The sequence below is a fragment of the Homo sapiens genome, chromosome 13 (assembly GCF_000001405.40).
Source record: "Homo sapiens chromosome 13, GRCh38.p14 Primary Assembly".
Classification (NCBI taxonomy): Eukaryota; Metazoa; Chordata; class Mammalia; order Primates; family Hominidae; genus Homo; species Homo sapiens.
The window spans coordinates 114,251,126-114,269,107 of NC_000013.11; the positions used below are offsets into that span (position 1 = coordinate 114,251,126).

General features: G+C 40.8%; 1 protein-coding gene and 1 long non-coding RNA gene across 27 annotated transcripts in view; one reads left to right on the top strand and one right to left on the bottom strand.

Moving 5' to 3' along the window:
- Positions 1 to 17,982, top strand: part of CDC16 (cell division cycle 16) — a 37,827-nt gene that overhangs the window by 16,229 nt on the left and 3,616 nt on the right. For 11 of the 20 annotated variants that reach the window (XR_001749714.3, XM_011534853.3, NM_001078645.3 and 8 more), the window contains 5 exons: positions 5,953 to 6,105; positions 8,210 to 8,273; positions 10,762 to 10,823; positions 11,754 to 11,889; positions 14,025 to 14,115. Coding sequence is in view for 18 of the 20 variants with exons in the window: in XM_011534853.3 (XP_011533155.1) it covers positions 5,953 to 6,105; positions 8,210 to 8,273; positions 10,762 to 10,823; positions 11,754 to 11,889; positions 14,025 to 14,115 (506 nt within the window). In the remaining 2 variants the exon portion in view is untranslated. Of the gene's footprint in view, positions 1 to 5,952; positions 6,106 to 8,209; positions 8,274 to 10,761; positions 10,824 to 11,753; positions 11,891 to 14,024; positions 14,116 to 17,982 lie in introns of those variants that run through there. The other 9 variants (XR_245358.3, XM_005266206.3, XM_047430755.1 and 6 more) reach the window with 5 other exon arrangements.
- Positions 1 to 17,982, bottom strand: part of LOC105370384 (uncharacterized) — a 30,962-nt gene that overhangs the window by 510 nt on the left and 12,470 nt on the right. For 4 of the 7 annotated variants that reach the window (XR_007063886.1, XR_007063888.1, XR_007063885.1 and 1 more), the window contains 3 exons: positions 17,146 to 17,210; positions 15,199 to 15,263; positions 14,152 to 14,234 (listed from right to left, as the gene is read on the bottom strand). This is a non-coding gene — a long non-coding RNA (uncharacterized LOC105370384). Of the gene's footprint in view, positions 1 to 45; positions 212 to 14,147; positions 14,235 to 15,198; positions 15,264 to 17,145; positions 17,211 to 17,982 lie in introns of those variants that run through there. The other 3 variants (XR_001750057.2, XR_007063887.1, XR_001750059.2) reach the window with 3 other exon arrangements.

Below are 17,982 nucleotides of genomic sequence, written 5' to 3' on the forward strand. Positions count from 1 at the left end.
GCTGTTCACATTGACTGTTTGGTCTCACCATCGGTTACAACTTACAGGGTTGGTTTGTGTGGACTGCTTCTATTGACTGATGACTGCATCCCTGCCTGGAGAGGTAGTGGGAGTGCAGTGGTCCAGAGGCCTGGTCTGGAGTCATACCTCCTGGACTCTTCCTGGCTCTTCCACTCCCAGCCATGTGACGTTGGGCAAGTTTTTTAGCCTCCTGAGAAATAGGAATAATAGCAAAATTTACTCACTGGCTTATTGTGAGAAGTAATTGAGATAATACCAATTAAAGACTTTGAAGAGTGTCTTACACATAGAAAGCACTCAGTGAAAGTTAGCTACTTGTGTTTATTTACTTGTATGCAGGGGTGGAATCATATATTTATCTGTATTGAATGTCATCCTGTTAGGTTTGGTCTCTTTGCAAACTGTTAGGCTCTTTTTGTCACTCAGTTCTGCGTTTAAATTAGTACCCACCTCAGTCAGTAGTCATAGTAACTTGGTAAGTATCATAGCTCCTTAGCTGTATTAGTCAGTAGGGCTGCCATAACAAAATACCACAGACTGGGTGACTTAAAGGACATTTATTTTTTCATAGTTGTGGAGGTTGAGAAGTCCAAGATCAGGGTGCTGGCCAGTGCAGTTCCTATTGAGGAGTCTCTTCCTGGTTTGTAGATAACTGCCTTCCTGCTGTGTCCTCACATGGCAGAGAGAGCTCTGGTGTCTCTTCCTCTTGTAAAAACACTAGCCCTATTGGATGAGAACCTTACACGAACCCTATTGGATAAAAGCCTTACACTAGCCCTGTTGGATAAGAGCCCTACACTAGCCCTGTTGGATAAGAGCCCTACACTAGCCCTGTTGGATAAGAGCCCTACACTAACCCTGTTGGATAAGAGCCTTACACTAGCCCTGTTGGATAAGAGCCCTACACTAACCCTATTGGATAAGAGCCTTACACTAGCCCTGTTGGATAAGAGCCCTACACTAGCCCTGTTGGATAAGAGCCCTACACTAGCCCTGTTGGATAAGAGCCCTACACTAGCCCTGTTGGATAAGAGCCCTACACTAGCCCTGTTGGATAAGAGCCCTACACTAGCCCTGTTGGATAAGAGCCTTACACTAGCCCTGTTGGAAAGGAGCCTTACACTAGCCCTGTTGGATAAGAGCTTTACACTAGCCCTGTTGGGTAAAAGCCATACTCTTAGGACTTCATGTAACCTTTATTATCTTTTCATAGGCCCTATCTTCAAGTACAGGCACAGTAGGGGTTAGGGATTTAATGTATGAATTTGGGGGGCAGAGGGGACACAAACAGTCCATAGCACTAATATATTACTAGAAAATAACCTTCCAGAGTAGAGTTGCACACCCAGTTATGGATCCACCTAAATGGTCCTCATACTCAGTCCAGGTCTCTCCATCCTGTTCACCAAGATGAGTGAGACCTTTTCCAGTTCTCTTCTGAAGCTCAGCTCCAGTATCTGCATATTTCCCCTATGTATCAATATGATAATTTGTTACCAAAAAAAAAATCTCAATAATTCACTATGAGTTGGTTTTTATGAGCATATGCTACAGTCTGGTAATTTTTATTTGATATTTTGGGTTCTCAGAAACAGAATAGTTATTAGTTAGTTCCTAGCTGGGAATCAGAATCAATGATAATTAATGACACAATACCTTCAGTGTTTCCAAATCTAACAAACTTTGTCATTAAATTCTCACATTAAGCTAGGTGTGGTAGCTCACACCTGTAATCCCAGCACTTTGGGAGGCTGAGGTGGGAGGATTGCTTGAGGCCAGGAGTTTGATACTAGCCCTGGCAACATAGTGAGACCTTATCTTTACAAAAAAAAAATTTAAAATTAGCTGGGTTTGATGGTGCCTGCCTGTAATCCCAGCTATGCGGGAAACTGAGGCAGGATGGTCACTGTGCCACCACAATCCAGCCTGGGTGACCAGTTGAGATACATCTCAAAAACCTCATGATAGCTCATCAAGATAAGCATTATTTTTCTTTCAAGTTTACTTATCTGTCAGAGCAGCTCTGCATTTTCTTAACTTGTCTGTGTTTGGATAAATGTTTGAAATTGGATGAATATTTTTACGTGTCCTTTATGATTTCTTTTTTGAGTCATTGGTTATTTAAGAATATGTTGACATTTAACTTCCACATATTTAAGAATTTCCCAAATTTTCTTCTTTTGTTGTTTTTTAACTTAATTCCATTGTAGTTAGAGAACATACTTCGTGTGATTTTAGTCCTTTTAAATTTATTGAGGCTGGCCGGGCGCAGTGGCTCACACCTGTAATCCCAGCACTTTGGGAGGCCAGAGGGGTGTGGATCACTTGAGGTCAGGAGTTCAAGACCAGCCTGGCCAATATGGTGAAACCCCATCTCTACTAAAAATACAAAAATTAGCCGGGTGTGGTGGCTCACGCCTGTAGTCCCAGCTACTCGGGAGGCTGAGGCAGGAGAAGCTCTTGAACCCAGAGGCAGAGGTTCCAATGAGCTGAGATCGCACCACTGCACTCCAGCCTGGGCGACAGAGTGAGACTCCATCTCAAAAAAAAAAAAAAGAAAAAAATTATTGAGGCTTTTTTATGAGCCATTCTATAGATTGTTCCAGATTATTTGAGAATTCTGCTCTTGTTGGGTGAAGTGTTCCATAGATACCTGTTACATCTGATTTTATAGTGTTGTTGAAGTCTTCTCTTTCCTCATTGATCTTCTACTTATTTATTCTCTGCATTATTGCAAGTGAGGTATTAAAGTCTCCAGATTTTATTGTTGAATTGTGTATTTCTCCCTCCAATTCCGGCACATTTCACTTCATATATTCTGAGTCTCTGTTGTTAGGTGTGTACATGTTTATAATTGTTGTATTTTCTTGATGGATTGAGCCTTTTATCATTATAAAATATCACTAATTATCTCTAATAATACTTTTTTTTATAAAGTCTGTTTCATCTGATGTTACTGTAGGCACACCAGCTCTCTTTTGTTACTGTTTATATGGTGTGGTTTTTTTCATTCTTTTAATTTCAACTTGTGTTTTGAATCTAAAGCATGTCTCTTGTTGACAACATACAGTTAGATCCATTTATGTTTAATTACTAACAAGATAGGATTTATGTCTGGCGTTTTGTTCTTTATTGTCTATACATCACATCTTTTGTTCCTGTATTTCTTCTTTTGTGTTGAGTAAATATTTTATAATGTCCCATTTTAATCCCCTTTTTTTATTATACTATATCTTTTGAGTTATTTTCTTAGGTTGGTTATCTTTAGGATTATAATTAGCACCTTAATTTAAAACGACCTACTTTGAATTAATACCAATTTAATTTTAATAGTACGCCCAAACCTTACTCCGATATAGCTGTTTCCTCTTGCCTCCTTGTGCTGTTAGTGTCATATAGAATACATCTTACACATTATAAGTCCATCAGCACAGATCTGTTATTATTATTTATTCTGTTGTCTTTTAAATCAGATAGAAGAGTTAAAAACAAGCACATTTTATACTGTCTCATAATTACCAATGTAGCTATTTTTATCAGACTCTCATTTCTTCGTGTTGTAAACCAAAAATAAAATTTGAAGACCCTCCCCAACCATCTAAATGGGCTTCCTCCTCTAGGCCAGGGCCGTCTAAATTTAACCTGAAAGACTGGTTCAGGCCATGATGGGAAGTGGGGGTCCAACACTCCTCTTTACGCCCTCCAGCATTAACATCAAATGGACCTTCAGTCTGATAAGAAGAAACACTTACCATCTATCCTCTCTGAAGCCTGCTACCTGGAGGCTTCATCTGCATGATAAAATTTGGTCTCTGCAACCTCTTATCATAACCCAGACATTGCTTACTATTGATAATAACTCTTTCAACCAATCAGAAAAATCTTAAATCTACCTGTTACCTGGAAGCCTGCACTTCGAGTTCTTAGAGTTTGACTCTTCTGCAACAATGTGGATTTGAATTCCTATGTAGTATCCTTCTGTTTTAGCATAAAGGACTCCCTTTAGTATTTCTTACTGGGCAGATGTACTAATGACAGATTTTCTCAATTATACATTGTTATTATTTATGTAATTTTGTTTTTCAAAGAAGCTGTGAGGAAAGAAGGTGTATATACTTATATCATTTGTTATATTAACCCTGTTATTTACCATTTTCAGTTCTCTTTGTTCCTGTGGGTTCAAGTTAACATCCAGTGTTACTTTCCTACTGTAATACAGCTTTGCTGTCACCCGCTTCCTATTACACTGTTACTGGTAAACCTTACATTTCTGTATATGATAGGCCCAACAATATAATTGCACATTGAGTATCCCTAATCTGAAAATCCAAAGTTCAAAATGTTCCAGAAGCCCAAACTTTTTGAGCACTGTCATGACACTCAAAAAGAATTGCTCACTGGAGTATTTTGGATTTTCAGAATAGGGATGCATAAATTCCAAAATTAAAAAAAAAAAACCTGAAATCCCAGACACTTCTGGTCTCAAGCATTTCTGATGAAGAATACTCAACCTGTACATAGAGTCTCACTCTCTTGCCCAGGCTGGAGTGCAGTGGCACCATCACAGCTCACTGCATTCTCAAACTCCTGGGCTCAAGGGATCCTTCCGCCTCAGCCTCTCAAGTGTCTGGGACTACAAGCCCATACCACCACGCTTGGCTAATTTTTTATTACTTTTTAGAGATGGGGTCTCACTGTGTGTCATAAACTCCTGGGCTCAAGCATTCCTTTCACCTTAGCCTCCCAGAGTACTGGGATTACAGGTATGAGCCCAGGGGGCTCTTTTAGGAGCTACCAGACAGGTCAAATAGCAGCAGTTCCCTGTGGGGTGTTTGAGGAACTCTAAATTAATTCTGCTTTCTCCAATGGCTGCTAGGCTAATGGCTTTACAACGGCTGTTGTTATGAGACTGCTTGTTTTTAAGGTTAATGCAAAGCTAGGGAAAGGGAGATGGGAATAAGACAAGTTAAAGCAGCACAAAGTTGTTCTTACTGAGATTTAGCCATCTTTTCTTGAATATACACTCCTCAGATTGTTTTAAGAGCTTGGTTACCTTCCAAAGTTCTGAAAAAATTGGTTTTGATAATTTTTGCCAGTGTTGTTGTTGCTTCTATGGATGAATAGATTTTTGGAGTCCTTATGCTGCCATTTTGAAAGTACTTCTACCAGGTGTAAATATTTTTAAAGAATTTGTCATGACCTTCTGTAGAGGATATAATCTTAATTTGAGTTATGACTCTAGATTAGAACCAAAGCACACACCAAGCAATCAGTATTTATTGATGTTCTGAGATCATCATCAAGGAAAGATTGTCTTATTACACTTGCTTTAATGCAATCACTGATCCCAATCGTGTGAACAGATGAAAATTCAATTAAAAAGTAGTTCTGACTCTGCCTAGAACTGTCTCAGAAGGTGGGAAAATTGAATCAATACACAGGGCATTATTCATAACTCTTCTGCATAGAACTGATTATAATGGGAATTCACAGAAGGGAGAGCATTTATGTTAGAAAAGTCAGAGGTAGCTTCATAAAGGGAAGTAGAAGTTGAACCCAATCTTGAAGGATAAATGGTGGTGAGTAAATAAGAGGAAGACCAGTGTCGGCTGGGGCATGACATTAGCATCAAGGAGGAAGACAGCACCACAGAGACCTGCCCTTTTGCTTTAGAGAGTTTTTGTTTTTTTACTGTGGAATAATAATGAAAATTAAAGGTAAATAAGTTGCAGATAGATTCTAGAAGTGGCAGCTGATTAGTCCAAAGCCCATTAGGCATTCATTAAATATTTGTAAATTAAGAGAAAAAAGTAAATGCTGTGTTTTGGCTACCTTTAAATTATTTTGCAGATAGGATTTGAAGTTGACAGATTAATTTCTGCTAAATCACAGTTTTTGGTGTTGAATATGTGAAATTTTCCAATTTTTTAGGTGTCATTTGCCTATGCTGTATATTGGATTAGAATATGGTTTGACCAATAACTCAAAACTAGCTGAAAGGTTCTTCAGCCAAGCTCTGAGCATTGCACCGGAAGACCCTTTTGTTATGCATGAGGTCGGCGTGGTTGCATTTCAGAATGGAGAGTAAGTACTGGAAGACCAGAAACCCTTCTGTTAACTAGTGATTGTAAATACAGTAGGTGATCACTAGAGTTCACTGACAAAAGCGACTCTTCAGTAGATTTGTACTTTTAAATGTTCTATTTTAGGAGAAGGAGATAGAAAAAAAAGAGAGAAACTGTTATCTTGGATTTCCTTAAAAATTCTAAACCCAGGTTTTGGTCTTTTTTTGATCTGAGCTACCACTTCTTTTCTTACATGATTGGACAGTTCAGATTACACATACCCCACAGTGTGGCTGGGGGCACTGTGGAATCCTTAGTTATCTCTGTGTTGATAAGGAGTTGAATTTACGTATTTGAGAAGAATTTGACATGGTTTTTGAAACAAAAGTGTTTTCTATTTAGTTACTAGTAAGTCAGAAAATTTAATTCCTGGTCAGTGTAGGCTTTACTGTACTCTAGAATATTTGTAGAATAAGTGATTTGGTGTTATACTCAAAGAGAAAAATGTATGTAATCCTTTGCATTTCATGATATACAAATTTTAAAATGGTAAATTAGTTTCAGTTTTTTTTGGTTTTTGTTTTTGTTTTTTTGAGATGGAGTCTCGCTGTGTTGCCCAGGCTAGAGTGCAGTGGCGCATTTTCAGCTCACTGCATTCTCTGCCTCCCAGGTTCAAGCGATTCTCCTGCCTCAGCCTCCTGAGTAGCTGGGATTACAGATGCCCACCACCACGCCCGGCTAATTTTTGTATTTTTAGTAGAGACAGGGTTTCACCATGTTGGTCAGGCTGGTCTCGAACTCCTGACCTGGTGATCCGCCTGCCTCAGCCTCCCAAAGTGCTGGGATTACAGGTGTGAGCCTCCACGCTCGGCTGTAAATTAGTATTAATACTACTACAGTGTCATTTATGGCATGTATGTGTTCTAAAAAATGGGTTATCTAGGTATTTTTTAAAAGTTTGAAGCTTTAAAATAAATAGTAATCTTTTAATATAATACAGTAATCATCAGTATTTGCGAATTTGCCTACTCATTAAAATTTATTTGTAACCGCCAAATCAGTTCCTGAGGTGCTTTCTGAGCCATTGGCAGACATGCCCAGGGCTGGGAGAAAGCTGGGTCTCCTGGCACACACACTTCCAGCTGGAGTCTAAGAAGGCAACGCTCTGCCTTTTTTCCCAGTTCAACTATAAACCAGTGTACTTCTTGTGGTCTATTTAGTGCCACAGTTTTCACATTTTTGTGCTTTTTGTTGATGATTTCACTGTTTTGAAATAATCCCCAAGCTTAGTGAAATGCTATCTAGTGTTAATTGTGATACACTTTTGTGTTACAGAGGAAACACATGTATTAGAGAAGCTTCATTCAAGCAGGCATCAGTATTTATAGTGCTGCTGGCCCTGACTTCAATATTGATGAATCAACAATATGTATCAAATAAGACGTCTTTAAATAGAAACACACATAAAACAAGGTTACGCATTGATCAATTAGAGAAAATGTGACCAGAGAATTGCAGGAATCTAACTGTATTTCCCCTGGCAGCCGCGGTTCAATATTTGCTAACTCAGTGTACACAGTGACTTTATAGAACATAAATACTGTGGTTGGGTGCGGTGGCTCCCGTCTGTAATCCCAGCACTTTGGGAGGCCGAGATGGGCATATTGCTTGAGGCCAGGAGTTTGAGACCAGCATGTGCAACATGGCGAAACCCCATCTCTACTAAAAATACAGAAATTAGCCAGGGATGGTGTTGTACACCTGTAATCCCAGCTGTGTCAGGAGGCTGAGGCACAAGAATCACTTAAACCCGGGAGGCAGAGGCTGCAGTGAGCTGAGATCGCACCACTGCACTCCAGCCTAGGTAACAGAGTGAGACTCTTAAAAAAAAAAAAAAAAAAAAGGAATATAAATACTGTATCTCCCAAAATCTTGAAATCTTGAACTCTTGATATTAATGCCGTAAAATTAATCATTTGTGACTTAACTTTGAATTTTTATAATTATTTCCAGCAGTTTACCCCATTGCATTTTAGTACTACTAGAAAGGTAATCAAAAATTTTTTTAAAGTTTATATTTGCTAATTTCGAATAATCTGCAACCTTTTTTCCTTTCATTTTAGATGGAAAACAGCCGAAAAATGGTTTCTTGATGCTTTGGAAAAAATTAAAGCAATTGGGAACGAGGTATTCTTTGTAGTACCTGTAAATATACACATATACACCCCTGAGTGTTTACTGTTAAATGAGGAAAACAACACAGAAATCTCTTGCCTTCGAAGATAGTAACCTGATATTTTCATAACAAGCGGCTGTTAATGTTTGCATTGTCAGTTAACTGTTTTACCACATGGTAAGAAATGAGTTTTTTCCCTAAGAGGGCAAGTGTTGGCGTTTGCTTCTTAAATGGGCTCTAGCTTTGAAACGTGAGAGGCATCAGAATAGATTGGGTGATTATTTGAAGCTAGGAATAGTCATTGGGTCACGGAAACAATTGGGCACTGTAGCGTCAGATGTAATATTCCTCTAGAACTTCAGAGAGCTTCTTTGACTGAAGGGTAAATAAAGTATAGCAGCAGGTCCCACTTCTGAAAGGATAGGGATGGGATAGGTATTACTGAAATTCACACCTTTTGTTGCTGTTACTGCATACTGAGTGTGTATTTGGGCCTTTCCATTTTAAAATATTTGACTGCTTCTGTTGTATGAACGATCCCGTGAATTGGTGCTTATGAGTTAACCTAACAATTATCAAGGATGTGTATATACTGATATTACTTAAAAGTAGTAACAGTTTTAGATACCATAAACTTGCATAGTAAGAGATTTGCATGATGCTCTTCTGTTTCATTCGTGCCTGTTTTGTTTCATTCTATTCTGATTTTCACTTCTCAGCTTCCTGCTGTTACTGTTTGTGCACACCTGCCCACAGTTTTCTTCTCCCTTGGCTGTTAGCTCTCTCTGCTGTTACAGACACAGCTTTGCCTCCCTGCCAAGCGATCTGCCTGTCCCCATAGACACAGCTTTGTTTACTTTGGTCTCTCATGTCATCTGAACTTATAAACACTATTTCTGTGTTTGCACATGCGTGTATATAAAGCAGGTGCCTCTGTCGCATAGTCTTGGGTAGTTCTGGATAATCCAAGTGTTTTGTTAATAGGGGATTGCCACTTGCCACCTTGTCAGTTTTCTAAGAAGTGACTGCCTTATGCCCCAGACGGGCTCAGCAGCATCAGCATCACCTAGAAGCCTGCTAGAAGTGCAGAATCTCAGACCAACTGAATCAAAATCTGCAGTTTTAGCGTGATGCCCAGGGGATTATCACGCACAGAAAAGTTTTGAGAAGCACTTTCCTAAACCATACTTAAGTTGAGCCTGTATTCTTTGATGATTAAGGGGCACTAAATTTAGAGTCTTACAGAAACTTAATGGTTTTAAGTATGAAAGCACAACACTATTGAAATGTCAAAATGCTCATTAAAAAGTTATACGAAGAGGGGGAAAATATTGACTTTATTAGAAACTGCAGCAAATGTCAAAGAGAAACAGTCATGCCTAAGAGTCATTAAATGATTTGTTTTTCATTCACATGGGCTGTGCCTCCTAGAACTGGTCTCAATAGAGTTAGAGAATCTGTGGCTCAGGTCTGTTCATTCATTTAGTTGACATATATTTAATGAGTGTCAGCCATGCCATAGGCTCTGAGCTAGGCCTTGGGATGCAAAGGGGAATGAGTTTACTATTTCCTGACCTCAGATCAACTGGCGAATGTAAGTACGTAAATTGACAGTGAAAATACGGTGCAATTGAGGAACTAAAGGTGCCCACAGAGAAAGGCAGTTCACCCAGAAATGAGCCTTTTGCATACACCTCAGTCCTGAAAGTCATCAGACATCAGCTAGGCAAAAATTAGGGCAAGGGTATTCCAGTGTTTGCAAAAATTGGAGCTAATTCATTATGGCTTGGATTTTGAGTTCACAGAGAATGTCAAGGAGTGGGTCAGGAGGGTTAAGTGTGGATCACTAAAGGCCCAGAATGAAAGAGTTTGTGCCTTATCCTGAGGAGAATGGGAAAACAAAAGGGATTTAAGAAGGAAACAACCCGGTCAGACTTTTATGATTGGGGCCCAGATTTGACTCTGTTAATGAGGAAGGTGAGGACTAAATAGGTTGGAGTTATGCCTAGCAATTAGAAGGAACCAGCCCTGGTGTGCCTCATGGAAGGGTCAGAGGGGGTGGGGGTGCCATTCACTGACTGGAGGGGCACTCAGAAGCAGTGAGGTCAGGGGCTGGGATGGCCAGGGAGAGATGGGTGTGGTGTGTGGTGCACTAAACTTAAAGTGCTTGTAACATTTACAAGCAGAAGTATTTAGCAGGCAGATGGATAGAGAGGTCTGGTGTTTGAGGGAAAGCTCTGAGTTGCAGATACTCATTTGAACTCCAGCAGGGATAGGCTCTTGGATAAACTTGTCCTAATGATAACAGAGTCCTCAGGAAGTCTCCTAGTAGGAAAGAAAGGGAGATAGATAAAACAGCAGTTACCCTGGCCTTGTGGTGTGCTGGCGGCACACACTGGGAGAGAGCCCAGCTTGCAAGGCGTGAAATAATTCAGTGCAAACAAATCAGGCTGAACAGTGACATATATAACTCGTGGGCTTGATGTTGCTATGTTTTAGGTAACAGTTGACAAATGGGAACCTTTGTTGAACAACTTGGGGCATGTCTGCAGAAAACTTAAGTAAGTGAAGTAGAGCATTTTCAGAAATATACTTTGTGTCTCAAAGTTTACTTAATTTTGAATACTTTGTCATATTCTTATTTCATGAGATCAACCAGCTTTCTTGTACTTGGCTGCTCAGATAAAATCAGCATCAAATCAGTTTTTATTATTTATCTGTGTTGGTGTAATTTTATTTTAGAAACACATTGAGAATTTTACTTTTTTATATGAAAATTTAGTGTTCAAAATTAATTCAGAAGAATTAGGACAGTAGGATATAATTAAAATCCTATCCATAGTCTGTTTTCTGCTAGAGGTTTTGTGGTGTGATAAACAGGCGACAGTTGAAAAATGGGTTTTTTGGTTAAATATGTCTGGGCAATTTTAGGTTATTCAAGATTTAACAAGTATTTCTATTGCAGGATTTCTTTGAGTCTTTACTATGTATTACGAACTTATAGCATTTTCCAAAGTTTAATTGAGCATAAAACATTTTTTTCACAAAAGACTTTACAAGTCAAGTATTCCAGAGAACTTTAAGGAGCACTTTTCTAAGTAAATCTTTTGGACCTTAAAGCGATACTCCTTGACTGCTTTTATCTACCCCTGATATGGGACACTGACTGTCACCTAAGAGGGTGGTGTGTGGTAAGGGCACAGCCAGGAGGCATGGATTAGGTTCTGGTTGCAGTGTCCCACTGAACATCAAAAGGAATACAGCAGACATCCCTGCAGGAGTGCCCTTGGCCGGCGGAGGGAGTGGGCCTGGAAGATGCATTTAGAGGGCATATTGAGATGCATGAGAGTAGGTGTGGAGAACATTCACCAGTCTAGACTGCTGTTCTCATTGAGACAGCGTTTCTTGGGTGTTGATATGGATGGTTGCTCATCTTAGACTTAGGAATTTAGTGCTTTTACTGTAGCCAATAATTGTGTTCTCTCCCACAGAAAGTATGCTGAGGCCTTGGATTACCACCGTCAGGCACTGGTGTTGATTCCTCAGAACGCATCCACCTACTCTGCTATTGGATATATCCACAGTCTGATGGGCAACTTTGAAAATGCTGTGGACTACTTCCACACAGTATGTCTTTTCTTTGTACCTAATTTTAAATCTGGTTAACATTGACCACTTCCTTTTTTGAAAATATTTTTTCTAGGTAATATTGACTTACTATTTTAATATTCTTTAGGCAACCTTACGTGTTATTCTTTTCTTTGCAGAGAAAAGCATGTGGGTGTTGTACAGTATTCATCAAATTAGAAACAAACATGAATCCTGTCCTTAGTGTTTGCAGTGAGGTGCGCAGGTGCCCAGTGGCACTCACCAGTGATCTGAGTGCTGAGCACGGGGTTATCTGTCCACAGTAGCCCCTTTGGGAACTCGCAGTCTTTCTGTTCATGACTGTCCCCTTAGATCACATTAGTAGATGAACAAAACAGTCTCTGCAGTCATCACAAGGAAAGAACCTTTCATTAATCCATGTACCATATTCCATCAAATTTAAGACACCATGAGTAAGCAGGATGACCACAAAGAAAAAAGTGCTGCCAATTAAACTTTAACATAATTTTTTCCCGGCACTTAATTTTTTTGTACTTAGAGAAAATATTCTTGAACATATTTAGGCAGATTTGTATTACTCTAGTACATACATAGAAATGTACATATAAGTGAAATAAATGGTTACAATATTCAGCCCAGAGGGCCAGTATCTGTGTTTTCTCAAAATAGTGCCCTGGTGCTAGCACACACGCCCAGTTCCTGACTCTGGGTTTCCTCCCAGCCACAGACACCTGCTTTCCAACTCTCTCTCTCTCTCGTCCCTCTCAGTCTGCTAAAGTGTCAACAGAAGGTTTTTAGAAAACCACAATTCCCGCATCTGTTTAAGTGTTCCTCGCATGGTTTGTGATCTAGTCTGTGCTGCCAACATAACCACCAAGTTCACGCTTCTCAGGCAGGTTACCCATATCACAGTGGTGGCTGGTGGATGGCAATAATAGGAAACCACAGGTAAAAGGGAAGCAATGTTTGAATTTGAGAAAATGTGGGTCTTAGAATCAGTGAACTAATGGTATTTGGAGAAAGAGATAAAATATGAGAAAATTTATCAAAGATAAACTCATGAGCGCTTCGTAACTGATTTTCAAGAGTTCATTAGAGATTTTGAGGTTAGATGAAGTCATGAAGGTACCATGATGGTCACCAGAACACTGAGTTTGTCAGAAGTTTGGACTAAGCACATTTTCTAGTCCTGTATGATCTTTTAAATATGTATATTTGAGTATTGTATAATTTACCTTTCTTCTGAGATCTGATTAATACAGAAGGCTCAGCTGGGCGCGGTGGCTCACGCCTGTAATCCCAGCACATTGGGAGGCCGAGGTGGGCAGATCATGAGGTCAAGAGATCGAGACCATCCTGACCAATATGGTGAAACCCCGTCTCTACTAAAAATAGAAAAATTAGCTGGGCATGGTAGCACATGCCTGTAGTCCCAGCTACTAGCCCTGCGCCCGGTCCCAGGCTGAGGTAGGAGACTTGCTTGAACCCGGGAGGCGGAGGTTGCAGTGAGCTGAGATCGCGCCACTGCATTCCAGCCTGGTGACAGAGCGAGACTCTGTCTCAAAAAAAAAGGAAAAAAATACAGAAGGCTCAGAGAACTCTGTATGGAGATAGAACTTCTTTTTTTTCTTTTGAGATAGTATTTTGCTTTGTCGCCTAGGCTAGAGTGCAGTGGTACGATCTCGGCTCACTGCAACCTCCACCTCCCAGCAGTTTTCCTGCCTCAGCCTCCAGAGTATCTAGGATTACAGGCACCTGCTACCATGCCTGGCTAATTTTTGTATTTTTTATTAGAGACGGGGTTTCACCATGTTTTGGTCAGGCTGGTCTCGAACTCCTGAGCCCAGGTGATCCACCCGTCTAGGCCTCCCAAAGTGCTGGGATTACAGGCATGAGCCACTGCGCCCAGTCGAGATAGAACTTTTTAAAAAATCTTTTTTGGGGTAGATTTCCAGCATAAGAAAATAGAATAGTGTGATGAACCTCCATGACCCATAACCAACTTCAACAATCTTTGGTTCATGGCCAGTCATGTAGCTATGTCTGGCCACTTCCCCCACCCTGGATGCCCTGGAATATTTTGAAATGAATCAGTGTGGTAAGAGAAGGAAATATGTTTTCTTTTAATAACCATGCTGAATCTTTTATGGCAGGCCCTTGGTCTTAGGCGAGATGATACATTTTCTGTTACAATGCTTGGTCATTGCATCGAAATGTACATTGGTGATTCTGAAGCTTATATTGGTAAGATAATCGTTATTCTTATTGGTATTGTACTCCATTTTTTAGGTTGTCATATGTCTCTGTTTATGTTTCTCATATTCTCGTCTGAGGTTCCAAGTTCATCTTTCTAACCATTCGTGCTGCATTAAAAACAAGAAACTCCATTTATTTTATTAGAACAATGCTGTGGGGGAGTTAGTGACTCACCAAGGGTGCGTTCAGTTTAAAGCTGAATACTTGCTAAGTGCAAAATACCACTATAGAATATGTGTAAAGCACTTTGTTATAGAAGGACTCATCTGTTTCTATAATGGGAAAAGAAATCTTAGCAACATTTTTCTGATAAACAATTGAAGAGGCTCTGTCATTATTTTATAATGCAGGGTATAACAATATAAATCTTTACATTTCAATAGAATGTTGAGATGCCATACATTTCCATAACAGTGAATAAGTAATAGTATAAGTTTGGATGGAATTGCTGTACTTGGGCACTCGTTTAGTTATAAACATTATGTGATAAGGAGGATGTGGTGAGGTTATTGAGATCTAGGATAGGAAAGTTGCAAGCTTGCTAACTCCCGTTCCTACTAAAGTAATTTTTTTTTTTTTTGAGATGGAGCTTCGCTCTTGTTGCCCAGGCTGGAGTGCAATGGCGCAACCTCTGCCCACCGCAACCCCTGCCTCCCTGGTTCAAGCTATTCTCCTACCTCAGCCTCCTGAGTAGCTTGGATTACAGGCATGTGCTACCACGCCTAGCTAATTATGTATTTTTAGTAGAGACTGGTCTTCTCCATGTTCAGGCCAGACTGGTCTTGAACTCCTGACCTCAGGTGATCTGCCTGCCTCGGCCTCTCAAAGTGCTGGGATAACAGGCATGAGCCACTGCGCCCAGCCCCTACTAAAGTAATTTCTGATGTAATTTCCCCCAAAGTCAAAAAGATCAGGTAATGTGATACAAAACAGAGCAGAGCCTTAGATTTTGAGAGGGATCTGTCTGCTTATGTGTCTTGGGGTTCCCTGAGGAAAACAGAGGTTTCTCCTAAAACGGGGTCTGTGGCACCCTCTGGTTTTCCCAAGGAGCCCGAGGCTGTCAGAAATTACCTTGGGTCCTCTCATGTGGACATCCAGAGTGGCGAGAAGACAGACTGGGGAACTAATCTAGCCAACTGAGAAGAAAAACAAAAAATGAGTAATACCCATTGTAAAGTTGGATAAACTGAGGCACATCACAGTTTAAAAATGCATGTTCCCATAGGCTCCACAGCTCACTCTCTTAACCATCCTGTAATTGTGCCTGCTCTATGCCCAGTCACTGATGCACTTGTGTGGTAGCTCATGGCACACCTAGCAAACAGTTTCCCTGCCCCCTTAGAACCTGGGTTTCGTTTCCTGCTCTACGGCAGTATAAACAGTTTTTCTCTGCATGTGTTGGGTTCTAACCCTATATATCTCAAATTTTATTAATATTACTGAATCTTTTTTTTTTTTTGAGACGGAGTCTCGCTCTGTCGCCCAGGGTGGAGTGCAGTGGCAGGATCTCTGCTCACTGCAAGCTCCCCCTCACCGGGGTTCATGCCATTCTCCTGCCTCAGCCTCCTGAGTAGCTGGGACTACAGGCACCCATCACCACGCCCGGCTAATTTTTTTGTATTTTTAGTAGTGATGGGGTTTCACAGTGTTCGCCAGGATGATCTTGATCTCCTGACCTTGTGATCCGCCCTCCTCGGCCTCCCAAAGTGCTGGGATTACAGGCGTGAGCCACCATGTCTGGCCAATATTACTGAATCTTACAGGGGGCTGTGATGTCTTTAATCCTTAGAAATATTAATCTATAGACAAAGGAATACATGAGGTTAAACAGTATTCACATTTCTATATGCTTTAAAACATTCAGGCAATGTATTAAGAAACACACCTAAGAAACTGCAGTGAATCTACTCTGGATGAAAATTTAGAGAATATCTCTTCAAAAGAAGCTATCTAGGCCGGGCGTGGTGGCCCACGCCTGTAATCCCAGCACTTTGGGAGGCTAAGGCAGGCAGATCACCTGAGGTCAGGAGTTCAAGACCAACCTGGTCAACATGGTGAAACCCTGCCCCTACTAAAAAACAAAACAATACAAAAAAAAACTGGCCAGGCATAGTGGCAGACGCCTGTAGTCCCAGCTACTCAGGAGGCTGAGGCAGGAGAATCACTTGAACCCGGGAGGCAGAGGTTGCAGTGAGCCAAGATTGTGCCACTGCACTCCAGCCTGGGTGACAGCCAATCTCAAAACAAAAAAAAAAGTGCTACGTATTGGTAGTTATGCATATTCTTACATATATTAACAGTATTTTACATGCTTAAAACCTTAAAAATAATTGAAAATGTCAAAATTATATGCCATATACATTTCTGTGGGCTTGAAAATGATACAATATAGGTTGTTTCTTTAAAGCAGTCACTAAAATGTGTAAACTTCTAGATAGAGTAATCACTAAAAAGGAAAGTTCATACCAAAAGTAGTAATACTAGGAATAAAAGAGGGCTCAACACTGCCTTTGGGAGTCCTCCTCCCATGAAACATGGCTGGATTTTTCTCCTTGTCCTGTGTAACCTCCCTTACTTTATCATAGTTTACTGCCTTAGTTACTCTCTCATTCCTCCAAGGAGAGCCTCAAGAAATTTAGGTAACACCAGAGTGTGGCCCCAGCCAGTTGCCCTCAGTTACCAAGGAGCAATTAGGTAGGAAATGGCCACTGAAAGACTGAAAACAAGAAAAAAACTCAGGTCCCTCACCCAAACTGGGCAGTGGTGGTCAGGCTTCCACACGGAAACCTTTCACTGTCACCAGAGTGTCCCCAGCCAGAGACCTGCAGTTGCCTCTGTGCTTAGATGCTGTCCACCAAGGGTCCCGAGTTGGAAAAGGGAAAGGGGGGGGAGTTCCCCTATGTAGAGCAGAGGGATCCCCACATGGAGATAGCTCCAGCTCATGCCTGCAAATGAAGGCTCTCTAGAGAGGGAAAAGGGAAAAAGAAATGAAAAATAAATCCCAAAATTTGGGCTTACCTCCCGACTGGCTCACCAAAATATGTTACTGGTGTGGAAGGTCTTCACTACAAGTTGTCCAGGTTCTTGGCATGGTGAACAAAGATTGAACAAAACAAAGCAATGGAACATGAAAGCATAGGTGTATTGAAGTGAAAGTATACTCCACAGAGTGAGAGGGGCTTGAGCAAGCAGCTGATGAGCCCCAGTTGGGGTTTAAGTACCCTTAGGGGTTTCGTGTTGGTTACACCCTATGCAAATGAAGGATTGGTCTGTGGCAGATCAGAGGCTGAAGTGAAGTTACACCCTATGCAAATGAAGACTGTGACCAATCAGAGGCTGAAGTGAAGGCTCCCTGTCTTTAGACCGTATTCTGCCTCAGTTAAGAAGCAAATAAAGGCCCTCAGGGAAATGAAATTAAAACCATAATGATGGTGGTGTGTGCCTCTAGTGCCAGCTACTCAGGGGGCTGAGGCAGGAGGATTACTGGAGCCCAGGAGATCAAAGCTGCAGCGATCACGCCACTGCACTCCAGCCTAAGCAGCAGAGTGAAAACCCTGTCTCAAAAAAGTAATAATAATAAATAAAACCTTAGTGAGAAACCAGTACACACCCACCAGAATGGCTGAAAGTACAGGATGTGGTGTTGGTGTGATGTGGAGCAACTTGAACTCTCATAGATTCACTGCTGGTGGGTTATAAAAGGGTAAAGCCTCTTTGGAAAACTGCTTAATATCACAATAAAGTTAAGCCTATTATATCAGCTCTCTATTGCTGCCTAACCACTCCAAAACCTCAACCAACAACGTGTTATTTTTACAATTCTGTGGGTTGAGTGACCCATTTGTGGGTCTTGTC